Below are 13,387 nucleotides of genomic sequence, written 5' to 3' on the forward strand. Positions count from 1 at the left end.
CTCTCTTTCTTTCTTTCTTTCTCTCCTTCCTTCCTTTCTTTCCTTCTTTCTTTCTTTCTTTGAGATGGAGTCTCATTCTGTCACCCAGGCTGGGGTGCAGCGGCATGATGCACTGGCATGATCTCGATTCACTGCAGCCTCCACCTCCTGGGTTCAAGTGATTCAGAATAGCTGCCTCAGCCTCCAGAGTAGCTGAGATTACAGGCTCCTGCCACCACGTGCAGCTAATTTTTGTATTTTTAGTAGAGACAGGGTTTCACCGTGTTGGCCAGGCTGGTCTCAAACTCCTGACCTCAGGTGATCTGCCTGCCTGAGCCTCCCAAAGTGCTGGGCTTACAGGCTTGATCCACCATGCCCAACCACAGCCTGCCTTTCTTACTCCCTCATGAATAAAGCTGCTCCTGCCTGTAAACCGCTCAATACCAGGGTTATGCAGGGGCTCATCTTTGAGGTCAGACCTGCTAGAATAGGTCTGATCTGTGGTTTCCACAGAGGAATAAATGAGCTGGGGATCTGCTTTTTGGGATGTGAAGTCTGGCAACAGAGTAGCAGGTTTAAAACCTGACATAGTTTAAGGTAACATCTGTGGTGTCAAGCAGAAGGGCCTGATATTTAAACAACTGACTACCTGTTAGCCATTGATGTCCTTTTGCCTCTAGGACCCCCTGTATTTGGTTGGGGGAAGGATAATGACATCTAATTGTTGTTCCAAGGTAAATTTACTGCCTTTTGTTTTTTTCCCCCAACAGAGCAGTGGTGGGCACAGCTCAAAAGCATCCTGGCCACCCAGCTGCCAACTGGCCTAGCTGTTTAGAAAAGTAAGCCACTGGTTTAGGATTATTCTTGAGCCTTTGAGCTAGAACACCCAAAGATGTCCTTTGTTTTTAGTCACATAGAGAGTGAAAGGTTTGGGACATGTTCCCAGCATTTCTTTTAGGGTTAAGAATGCCTGTTGTGAGGTTCTGTCCCAATTCAAAGGCTTGTGATCACACTCTTTTAGAGCTTTATAGAGTGGTTTTGATATGATCCCAAACCTGGGAATACAAATATGGCAGAATCTGGCCATTCCCAAAAAGGCACTTAACTGTTTCTTAGTCTGAGTGGGCTGGAGTGCCAGAATGGTCTCTTTCTATTCCTGGGCTAAGGTTTTTGTCCCAGGAATAAACACACATCTCAGATACTTCACCCTTTGGGCAGAAATTTGGGCCTTGTGGGGAGATACCCAGTACCCTTCTGTATTAGTCTGTTCTTACACTGCTAATGTGTGAGATATAAAGACATACCTGAGACTGGGTAATTTATAAAGAAAAGAGGTTTAATGAACTCACGGTTCCACATGGCTGGGGAGGCCTCACTCATGGCAGAAGGCAAATGAGAAGCAAAGTCATGTCTTACATGGCAGCAGGCAAGAGAGCTTGTGTAGGGGAACTCCCCTTTATAAAACCATCAGATCTCATAAGACTTATTCATTATCATGAAAACAGCATGGGAAAGACCCACCCCCATGGTTCAATTACTTCCCACCAGGTCCTTCCCATGACACGTGGGAATTATGGGAGCTACAATTCAAGATGAGATTTGGCTGGGGACACAGTCAAACCATATCACCTTGTTTTCCCAGAAAATTAAGGATCTGGATTGTGTTTCTGTCAGAGGATTTTAATCTTTCCCCTGAGTTATTTCTCTAATCTTGTCATAATTAACTGGCTTGACCACATACTTTTTCATGCCTTCTATTAAATGAGTTAGTATGTGATTTCTGCATTCAAGATCTTAGGAATTGATCTGGAACTGCCTCACCCCCCTCCACACAGTAAATGGTATGGCCTTGGTTACGAGTAGCCACTCCATCTGCATGTTCGTGGGCAGTATCTAGAGTCTTTTTTTCTTTTCTTTTCTTTTTCTTTTTTTTTTTTTTTTGAGACTGAGTTTCACTCTTGTCGCCCAGGCTGGAGTGCAATGGCGCTATCTCGGTTCACTGCAACCTCTGCCTCCCGGGTTCAAGCGATTCTCCTGCTTCAGCCTCCTGAATAGCTGGGATTACAGGTGCCTATCACCATGCCCAGATAATTATTGTGTTTTTAGTAGAGACGGGGTTTCTCCATGTTGGTCAGGCTGGTCTTGAACTCCTGACCTCAGGTGATCCATCCGCCTTGGCCTCCAAAATTGCTGGGATTACAGGCCTGAGCCACCGTGCCCAGCCTGTTTTGTTTTTTTCTATGGCAAAACAAGTGGATAATGATATTGGCATGTCATGCCACCTTAAATCAAAGGACATGGCCAATTTAACAAACTCCTGTACAAACTTCCCTGGATCCTCTGAAAACTGGCCACATTTTCTTGCATAAAGCCAAATTGGACATGGAAAAGGTACATATATTCTGATTTTTCCACCATCTCTGTCAACTACCTGCTGATACGGACACAGGTTTGATTTGAGGGGCTGATACGGGACCCTACTGCTGGTGGTACTGGTTGGGCTTGCTTCCTTGGGCAGCAGGGGGCATAGGCTGGGATCTGTTGGATAAGGGGGAGAAGTTCTTGATGACCTTGGAGTGGAATCCTGTGCTAGAGAACTGGTGGGAACCTTCTTAGAACTGAAGGACTGAGGAATCTCCAAGGCGGGCTTGTAGGCGTTCTAGCTGGAGCAGCTAGGAAGGGGTAATCCAGGATATCTGGGGTAGCTTCTTGGTGCCAGAGGTGTTATGAGCCAGACACATTTTACAGCTATCTCTTAGGTCAGGATCTTGGTAGAGGGCCATAAAGCCTGCACATAAGGAACTTCTCCCCATTTTCCTTTCTTTTTACAGAATAAATCTAATTGTAAAATAGCATTATAACATAAAGAGCCATTTCTAGGCCAAATTTGTTGATTCCCCAATTTGTATTCGACTCAGTGTTGCCATGGAAAATGAGGTTTTTTTCCTCTTTAAATCATCAGATTTGAATTTCCTCCACTTGCCTAAAAGACATCCCGGTGGCAAGGCCTATGGGATGCTCACTGCTGTCCCCATGTCTAGTAAGGATTTCTACAGGAGTTTTGTAGTTAGTCTAAGTCTAGCAAAAGCTTAGTCACATTTTCCTTTCAAATTTTCACTTTTTGCAAAGAAGGTGTAAGTATAGGTAGCAAAGCATTACAAAAGCCAATTATGAGCTATGAATGGGTAGTAGAATGACGAGAGTGAATTCTACAGAGAGCAATGAAAGCATCTTAGTTTGGGCAGAGAGGGGCTAAACAGAAAGTAAACACAGAAGGGAGGAAGGGAAGGGGTGAACAGCATTTCTCAAGGGGAGACCTTGGAAGCTCGGATTCACCACAGAACCTACTTGGCAATGGAGACAACTGTCTGCAGGAGCCAAAATGGTGCCAGCCAGGCTTGTGGAACTGGGTGAAGGCCTGCCTAGGTGACCCCCAGCTTGGGTGGGCTTGGCTGCTAGAGGGGAACAAGTGTGGAGATCAGCAACCTGGTAGGTCCCACATCAGGCGGTGCTCTGGCCACTTGCCTGTCCTCTTGGCTCCACTGCCTGCCAGGATAAATGACGGCTCTGGCCAGGCACGATGGCTCACGTCTGTAACCCCAACACTTTGGGAGGCCATAAGGGGGCGGATCACTTGAGGTCAGGAGCTCTAGACTAGCCTGTCCAACATGGTGGAACCCCATATCTGCTAAAAATACAAAAATTAGCCAGGCATGGTGGTGGGTGCCTGTAATATCAGCTACTCGAGCGGCTGAGGCAGGAGAATCACTTGAGGCAGGAGAATCCAGGAGGCGGAGGTTGCAGGTTGCAGTGAGCCAAGATCGCACCACTGCACTCCAGACTAGGCACCAGAACAAGACTCCATCTCAAAAGAAAAGAAAGACAGAAAGGGAGAAAGAGACAAAGAGACAAAGAAAGGAAAGAAGGAAGGAAGGAAGGAAGGAAGGAAGGGAGGAAGGAAAATGATGGCTCTGAAAAGAGCCTTTGGTTGATGTTACACCTCTCTGCAGTGTTAGCAGCTCTTTGGTATTACAGTCTTAGTGTTACTGCTCTTGCAGTTTTGATGACCAATTTCCTCACCATCTCTCGCTGTCTCACTGATCATTGCCTCTTGCTGTCTCTCTCACTGCTTGCTGTCTCTTGCCATCTCTCACTATCTCACCAACCATTATCTCTCACCATTGCCTCATCAATCACTGACCACCATCCTCTCTTCACTCCTGGCTGACTCATCACCGATGCAGGGCAGATTCTTGGCTTTGCTCAGGAAAGAACTCAAGAGCAAGGCTGGGCGTGGTGGCTCACACCTGTGATCCCAGCCCTTTGGGAAGCCCAGGCAGGAAGATTGCTTGAGCCCAGAAGTTCGAGACCAGCCTGGGCAACATAGCAAGATCCTGTCCCTACTTAAAAAAAGAATTCAAGAGCAGGCTGGTGATGAAAGAAAGCAGCTTTACTGAAGTGGCAGCAGTGTCAAGTCTCTGTGACTGCTCCTTGTGGAGCAAAGCTATCGCATAGGCAGTGAACTGAGTAACAACATATGGGTGGTTTGCGGTCATATTTATATCTACTTCTAATGACATGCTAATTAAGAGGCAGTTCTACTCAGAAATAGCTAGAAAATGGGTGATAACTCTCTGGGTATTGCCGTGGCAAAGGGTAGTAACTTCAGGCATCTCCACGTGTCGGTAAACTGTGGTAGTGTCTTATAGGGATGGGCAGCGAGAGCAACTGGAGGTGCTTTCAGGACCCCTTCCTGGTTTCTGCCAGTCTTCAGTCTGGTCTGGAGATGAGTCCCGCCTGCCTCCTACCTCATGTGGAGTTACTGACACAGGCATTCATTCAACAAATATTTTTTGAGAACTATAATCAGAATTTGGTTAGGTGCTGGGTACACATATGTGAAAAAAATTGACAAGATTACTACCAAGGAGGAATGGGAACACTTATTGAGCATCCTATATGTATCGTGCACTGTATTGAGGCTGTGAAGACGAGTACACATCCTGCTTTCAATTTTTTTTTTTTTTTTGAGACAGAGTTTCACTCTTGTTGCCCAGACTGGAGTGCAATGGCATGATCTCGGCTCACTGCAACCTCTGCCTCCTGTGTTCAAGCAATTCTCGTACTTCAGCCTCCTGAGTAGCTGGGACTATAGGCACATGTCACCATGTCCGGCTAATTTTTGTATTTTTAATAGAGATGGAGTTTCACCATGTTGGCCAAGATGATCTCGATCTCCTGACCTCGTGATCCACTCGACTTGGCCTCCCAAAGTCCTGGGATTACAGGTGTGAGTCACTGTGCCAGGCCTATTTCTTTTTTAAATACATTTTTATTTTATTTTATTTAGTCACCCAGGCTGGAGTGCAGTGGTGCAATCTTGACTTGCTGTAACTTCCGCTTCCTGGGTTCAAGCGATTCTCGTGCCTCAGCTTCCTGAGCAGCTAGGACCACAGGCACCTGCCACCACACTCGGCAAATTTTTGTATTTTTAATAGAGACGGGGTTTCACTGTGTTGGCGAGGCTGGTCTCGAATTCCTGACTTTCGACAATCCACCCGACTCAGCCTCTCAAAGTGCTGGGATTACAGGCGTGAGCCACAGCGCCCGGCTGGAATTTGGATTATTTCTATAACCTTGAGATAAGAAATCCTAGGGCTGGGGTTTGCTTAATGGGCACACAATATATGAAGAGCTGTTATATAAAATGAAGAATGGTCATGTGCTTATGTGGCTGCAAAGGATGGATTTAGGACACGGCTGGAAGTTTCAGGGAACACACTTAGGGTTAGATGAGGAAAATCTTTCGAACAGAGCAGTTTATCAGTGGAAGGATATATTTCTGAAGTAGGAGTTTCCATGAGATTGAAGACATTCAAACCAAAGCTGGAGAGGCCCCTTCTAACGTATGATGAAGAGTCACTCTCTGATTTGTGTTTTGGACTAAATGGCCACTGAGGTCACATTTAGCCATGAAATTCTTTGATTTTATAAACCTTTATATGTTGCATTCAAAAATTTTGTATCGTGCATTGCTATTTTGCTTTGTGTATGTAAATCAATGCTTGCTGAATTGAATTGTGAACTTCCCCAGAGCCTGAGAAAAGGTCTAGGTGGTATATTGAAGAGATCATGGATTTGGAATCTGTTCTAATACCAAAAAGCTATGTTCTTTGTGGGCAGGCTGTTCACCTTCTCTGCAACTCAACTTTCACATCTATAAAATGTATGTAGTAAAATTTAATTTATTCTGTTGCATTGCTATGGGGCAAGACATAATGTGTGGTAAAGCACTTTGAACACAGTGACATACAAAATTGATGCACACTTCATGGAAGTTATATTTGCTTCGCTTCATTCTCATATACTGCTACCCCACTGGCACCTGATGCTGTGGAATGCACAGATAAATTCTGTCCCCAAAGATATTGGAAGATGAAGGCCAAATGCTGGTTGCAATACTGTGGCCCAAGCCAGAGAGTCCATGATGGCTGATTCTTTCCCCAAAGGCAGGGGGATTTTGCTCTGTATTCTGTTATTTCATAGCTCTCTCTTCTCCTTCTTTGCACTATTCCTTCCTGGGATCTTCAGTGTTCTTCACTTTAGGTCCTGAAGCTGCTTGTGTCTGGATCAGTGGTTTCTGAGCACCCTCTAGAGACAACAGAGGGATTTGTTCCATTTGAGAGAACAGATTTTTCCCATCATGTGGTTGCTGGATCAAACGGAACGCATAGGAGCAAGTGAGGAGGACCCAGCTTTCTTCAGCCCAGCCCTCCCTAGCACTGCTCCAGTGGGGCTGCCTTCTCCTATATATCCAATCCCCAGGTGTCCGTGAGACAATGAGCAACCCAGGATTAAGAAAAACGTTCCCTTCTCTTCCTAAGCACAAGTGGTCAGGTGAGAGTGTGTGTCTCAATGGGAACATAACTCAATCTCTAGTGAATTCTGAACAAGACAATGACTCAAGTCCAGAGTTAAACGCACTAAATATGATGCATAAATTACCTCTTCTGACCATCCAGGCGGCATGTCTTGCTCAATCCTCAGGAAAAAGAAAAGAAAAACTTACTCAAGCACCATAAACAACAGAAAGCAATATGAACTCTTATTTTTCTTTAAATATTTCATCTCTAGTTCTTTCTCATATTCAACTCTTTTAAAGTTCCACATCATTCCTGTCCCTAAACAAACTTAAAGTACAACATTCCTATTTCTAGGATAGTGGAGAAGACAGTGAGGGGTAAGAGATCAAGGGACTGGGATGGGTAATAATAAGGAGGGTATGATAAAACCCACTTCAGGAGTGTCACACCTTGAATACATAGCAAAAATGATTGACTGACTGAGAAATCAGACCACATATCCCTTTCTGAAAGAAAATGATGAAATGAATTTCCTAGAGTCATAGAGTGAGATATTGGGAGATAGAATTTCAGACATCTATCTTGAAATTTGTTGAGTTTCTTGGCACTGTAAGTTAATGTTGTTCATCATATCTGGAACATTTTGTCCATTCTCTCTTCATGTGCTTTCTACCCCTTTTCTTTCTCTTCTCTTTCTAGGATTCCCCTCATACATATATTAGTATGCTTGATGATGTTCCACAGATGTTTGAGGTTCTGTTCAGAGAAAAACCTTTTTTAAATTATTTTTCTTTATTCTTTCCTTTTAAAAATAATTGCTAGCTTTGATGAGGCTGCAGAGAAATAGGAATGCTTTTACACTGCTGGTGGGAATGTAAATTAGTTCAACATTGTGGAAGACAGTGTGGAGATGTGCCAAGGAAATCCCTTTGACACAGCAATCCCATTGCTGGGTATATACCCAAAGGAATAGAAATCATTTTATTATAAAGATACATGCGTGGGTATGTTCCTTGTAGCACTATTCACAATAACAAAGACATAGAATCAACCCAAATGCTCATCAGTGATAGACTGGATAAAGAAAATGTGGTAGGCCAGATGCAGTGGCTCATGCCTGTAATCCCAGCACTTTGGGAGGCCGAGGCAGGCGGATCACCTGAGGTCAGGAGTTCGAAACCAGACTGGCCAACATGGTGAAACCACGTCTCTATTAAAAATACAAAAATTAGCCAGGCATGGTGGCAGGCACCTGTAATCCCAGCTACTCAAGAGGCTGAGGCAGGAGAATCTCTTGAACCCAGAAGTGGAGGGTGCAGTGAGCCGAGATTATGCCATTGCACTCCAGCCTGGGGGACAAGAGTGAGACTTCGTCTCAAAAACAAAAAAAAAAAAAAAAAGAAAAAGAAAAAGAAAAGAAAAGAAAAGAAAGTGCGGTACATATACACCATGGAATACTATGCAGCCATAAAGAGGAATGAGATCATGTGCTTTGCAGGGACATGGATGGAGGTGAAAGCCATTAACCTCAGCAAACTAGTGCAGGAACAGAAAACCAAACACCACATGTTCTCACTTACAAGTGGGAGCTGAACAATGAGAACACATGGATACAGAGAGGGGAACAACAATGGGGAGAGTCAGGGGAGGGAGAACATCAGGAAAAATAGCTAATGTGTGCTGGGCTTAATAACTAGCTGATGGGTTGATAGGTGCAGCAAATCACCATGGCACACGTTTACCTATGTAGCAAGCCTGCATATCCTGCACATGTACCCCGGAAATTAAAATAAAAATTTAAAAATTGCTTGCTTTTAATTGATATTTTCTATTTGGTGAGTCATAACCTCAAAACACTACACATTCTATTATTCCATTTATGTAACCTAAGAAAATGATCAAATTTAGTGATGGAAAACAGATCAAAGATTGAAAGGAATTAGGGATGGAGAGGTGACATTACAAAGGGGTAGCATGAGGGAGTTTCTTTGGGATGAAGAATCAGGTTTTTATCTTAATTGTAGTTGTGGTTACATGCATGTATACTCTGATGCATTTTCATAGAATACTCAAAAAAAGAAACAAAAGCAAAATACAAAAGGATATGAAAACTGGTGAAATTGCAATAAGGTTTTATACCTTATTATTATACCAAGGTCAATCCCACGGTTTTGATCACTGTATTAGAGTAATGTAAAGCACGTTGTGCACATGTACCCTAAAACTTAAAGTATAATAAAAAATATATATATACGCACGTATTAAAAAAATAAAAGTCATCGGTGTTAGTCCGTTCTCACACTGCTATGAAGAAATGCCCGAGACTGGGTAATTTATAAAGGAAAGAGGTTTAATTGACTCACAGTTCTTCATGGCTGGGAGGCCTCAAGAAACTTACAATCATGGTGGAAGGCAAAGGAGAAGCAGGCACCTTCTTGACAGGGCAGCAGGATGGATTGAGTGCAGGCAGAGGAAGTGCCAGACACTTAAAACCGTCAGATCTCATGAGACTCGCTATCACGAGAACAGCATGGGGCAAACGGCCCCCGTGATCCAATTACCTCCACCTGGTCCAACCTTTGACACGTGGGGATTAAGGGAATTACAATTCAAGATAAGATTTTGGGTGGGGACACACACAGCCGAACCGTATCATCATCGTGGGAAGTTAAGTTAAAAGCGTATGTGAGCTCTATTATTTTTGCAACTTCTATTTCATTCTAAAACTATTTTAGGGCCAGGTACAGTGGCTCACGCCTGTAATCCCAGCACTTTGGGAGGCCAAGGCGGGCGGATCACAAGGTCAGGAGATCGAGACCATACTGGCTAACACGGTGAAACCCCGTCTCTACTAAAAATACAAAAAATTAGCCGGGCGTGGTGGTGGGCGCCTGTAGTCCCAGCTACTCTGGAGGCTGAGGCAGGAAAATGGCGTGAACCCGGGAGGCAGAGCTTGCAGTGAGCCGAGACAGCGCCACTGCACTCCAGCCTGGGCGAAAGAGTGAGATTCCGTCTCAAAAAAAAAAAAAAAAAAAAAAAAAAAATTAGCAGGCATGGTGGTGCATTCCTGTAGTCCCAGCTACTCGGGAGGCTGAGGCTCAAAAATCACTTCAATCCAGGAGGAGGAGGTTGCAGTGAGCCGAGATTGCACCACTGCACTCCAGCCTGGGTGACAGAGCAAGACACTGTCTAATAATAATAATGTCTTTTAAAAATTCTAAGTCCACTTGCTAAGAGGCCATGCAATGGGCATACTCCAGGCTATCTGTGCAAATCGGTTTCAGAAAAACAAATGCCACTTGCCCAATTGCCTTCTAGTTAAACAATAATGAGGCCACTAGCCCCAGGTCAGGAGAGATCAGAAAAGTAAATACTCAGCGAAATCAAAGTGTTGAACTATTCACCTCAACACCTTGACCCTCAGCAAGTGAGACAAGAACGGGACAGGTGAGAAAGCAACCATCGAGGCCAGGTGTGGTGGCTCACGCTTGTAATCCCAGCACTTTGGGAGGCCGAGGCAGGCAGATTACGAGGTCAGGAGATAGAGACCACGGTGAAACCCCGTCTCTACTGAACATACAAAAAATTAGCCGGGCGTGGTGGCAGTCGCCTGTAGTCCCAGCTACTCGGAGAGGCTGAGGCAGGAGAATGGCGTGAACCCGGGAGGCGGAGCTTGCAGTGAGCAGAGCTCGCGCCAATGCACTCCAGCCTGGGCGACAGAGCAAGACTCCGTCTCAAAAAAAAAAAAAAAAAAAAAAAAAAAAGTAACTATCGAAAAACTTCATCTGTAAGTCATGATGCTTCAGGAAAGTGAAAGAGACCTTCCTATGAGATTTGCAAGTGGGTGTACTGTTTAAGGACTAGAATAATTAAATACATCTCTTATATCAGAACTGCTTTCCCTTCTTTTAACCTGCTATTATAGCCCAAGGTAAGGAACCGTGTAAAACCTACAAAGTTTCTACTTTTGTCCCCATCCCTCTCTGTCCCTGAGTCTGTTCTCTCTCTCTCTCTCAGTGTGCCACTGTGATTCTGTGTTTGACTGTTTTTCCTTTTTTAATGGCCCTTTTCTGCCTTCCTTTATCCCTATTCCCAGATGTTCTCTCATGTCTCATTGCCTATTCTCTCCCTAGCCTCCTGTATTAGTCTGTTCTCACGCTGCTAATAGAGACATACCCGAGACTGAGTCATTTATAAAGGAAAGGGGTTTAATGGACTCACAGTTCCACATGGCTGGGGAGGCCTCACAATCATGGTCGAAGGCAAAGGAGAAGCAAAGACACCTCTTAAATGGTGGCAGGCAAGAGAGCATGTGCAAGGGAACTGTCCTTCATAAAACCATCAGATCTGTGAGACGTAATCACTATCACGAGAAAAGTATGGGAAAGACCCACCCCCAAGATTCAATTACCTCCCACTGGGTTCCTCCCATGACACATGGGAATTATGGGAGCTACAATTCAAGATGAGATTTGGGTGGAGACACAGCCAAACCGTATCACCTCTGTATTAGTCCATTTTCATGCTGCTGATAAAGACATACCTGAGACTAGGCAATTTACAAAAGAAAGAGGCTTAATTGGACTCACGGTTCCATATAACTGGGGAGGCTTCACAATCATGGCAGAAGGCAAGGAGGAGAAAGTCACATCTTACATGGATGTGCAGAAAAACTCCCGTTTTTAAAACCATCAGATCTCATAAGACTCAGTCACTATCACGAGAACAGCCCAGGAAAGACCCACCCCTATGATTCAATCACCTTCCACCAGGTTCCTCCCATGACACATGGGAATTGTTGGAGTTACAACTAAAGATGAGATTTGGGTGGAGACACAGCCAAACCATATCAACCTTCATAACTATTTATTTGTGTATTTACTTATTTATTTATTTATTTTTTTGAGACAGGATCTCACTCTGTCACCCAGGCTGGATTGCAGTGGCACAATCACAGCTTATTGCAGCCTCGACCTTTCTGGCGCAAGGGATCCTCCCCCCTCAGCCTCCCAAGTGGCTGGGGCTACAGGCGTGCACCACCATGCCTCGCTAATTTTTGTGTTTTTTGTAGAGACGGGGTTTCACCATGTTGCCAGGCTGGTCTGGAACTCCTGGGCTCAAGAAATTCTCCCACCTAGGCTTCCCAAAGTGCTGGAATTACAGGCATGAGCCACTGCTTCTGGCCTCCATAACTATTTAAATATAATGTTGAATTAAAAGTCATTATTAGTATTTTTGTACTTAAAAATTTAATTTGGAAGCTCAAGTTTTTATGAAGCAAAAGAGTTTTTACTTTTGATTTATCAGCCTAATAACTCCTCATGTATGATAGAACACACAGCACTTAAATTAAAATTTATTACAGGGAGTCTGGTTGTCTAAGATTTTTTCTGGCCTTTCAGCAACCACAGATTCTTTGGTCCTTCTTTGATGTGTCCACCCTCCTCAAGTAGCAAATCATTTGCTTCTTTTATTCCTCCTTGATTCTCACCACATCACTTCCAGACTGCCCTGGGAAAACGAAATTCTTCATCTATTATCGTGCATGTAACATACACTTTTAAGACGATAATTTATTGTTTCCCGTCTTATACTTTCTTTTTTAGGCTCTGGTTATTGTGTCCTGGGACATTTAGGGCAAGGTAGGAAGCAGAAGCTTCTTTAAAGGTATTTCCCCTATTGGTTTTTATTTCTAAAAGACTAAGGCCATTGAAGAAATTAGGCCTCCTTTATTTCTTCCTGGAGAGAGATGAAACAGTTTTTCCTTTGAGGAAGATGTTGAAGAAGGGATTGTTCATATAGTAAAAAAATATTTCAGGAGATTATGGAGAAAATTTACTGGGTCCTGTAGGAAGAAGAAACAATTACCTGTGCCAGGGCACTTATTTTTATTTTTTTAATACTTTAAGTTCTGGGGTATATGTGCAGAACGTGCAGTTTTGTTGCATAGGTATACACGTGCCATGGTAGTTTGCTGCACCCATCAACCCGTCATCTACATTAGGTATTTCTCCTAATGTTATCCCTCCCCTAGTCCCCTGCCCCTGACAGGCCCCAGTGTGTGATGTTCCCCTCCCTGTGTCCATGTGTTCTCATTGTTCAACTCCCACTTATGAGTGAGAACATGCAGTTTTTGGTTTTCTGATCTTGTGACAGTTTCCTGAGAATGATGGTTTCCAGCTTTATCCATGTCCCTGCAAGGGACATGAACTCATCCTTTTTAATGACTGCATAGTATTCCATGGTGTATATGTGCCACATTTTCTTAATCCAGTCTATCATTGATGGGCATTTGGGTTGGTTCCAACTCTTTGCTGTTGTGAATAGTACCGCAATAAACATATGTGTGCATGTGTCTTTATCGTAGAATGATTTATAATCCTTTGGGTATATACCCACTAATGGGATTGCTGGGTCAAATGGTATTTCTAGTTCTAGATCCTTGAGGAATCACCACACTGTCTTTCACAATGGTTGAACTAATTTACACTCCCACCAACAGTGTAAAAGCATTCCTATTTTTCCACAACCTCTCTCTCCAGCAT

General features: G+C 43.8%; 1 protein-coding gene across 1 annotated transcript in view; it reads right to left on the minus strand.

Annotated features, from left to right (window-relative positions):
* LARGE1 (LARGE xylosyl- and glucuronyltransferase 1) overlaps positions 1-13,387 on the minus strand; it is an 856,162-nt gene that overhangs the window by 53,793 nt on the left and 788,982 nt on the right. The window lies entirely within an intron of this gene.

Source organism: Homo sapiens, chromosome 22, assembly GCF_000001405.40.
Source record: "Homo sapiens chromosome 22, GRCh38.p14 Primary Assembly".
Classification (NCBI taxonomy): domain Eukaryota; kingdom Metazoa; phylum Chordata; class Mammalia; order Primates; family Hominidae; genus Homo; species Homo sapiens.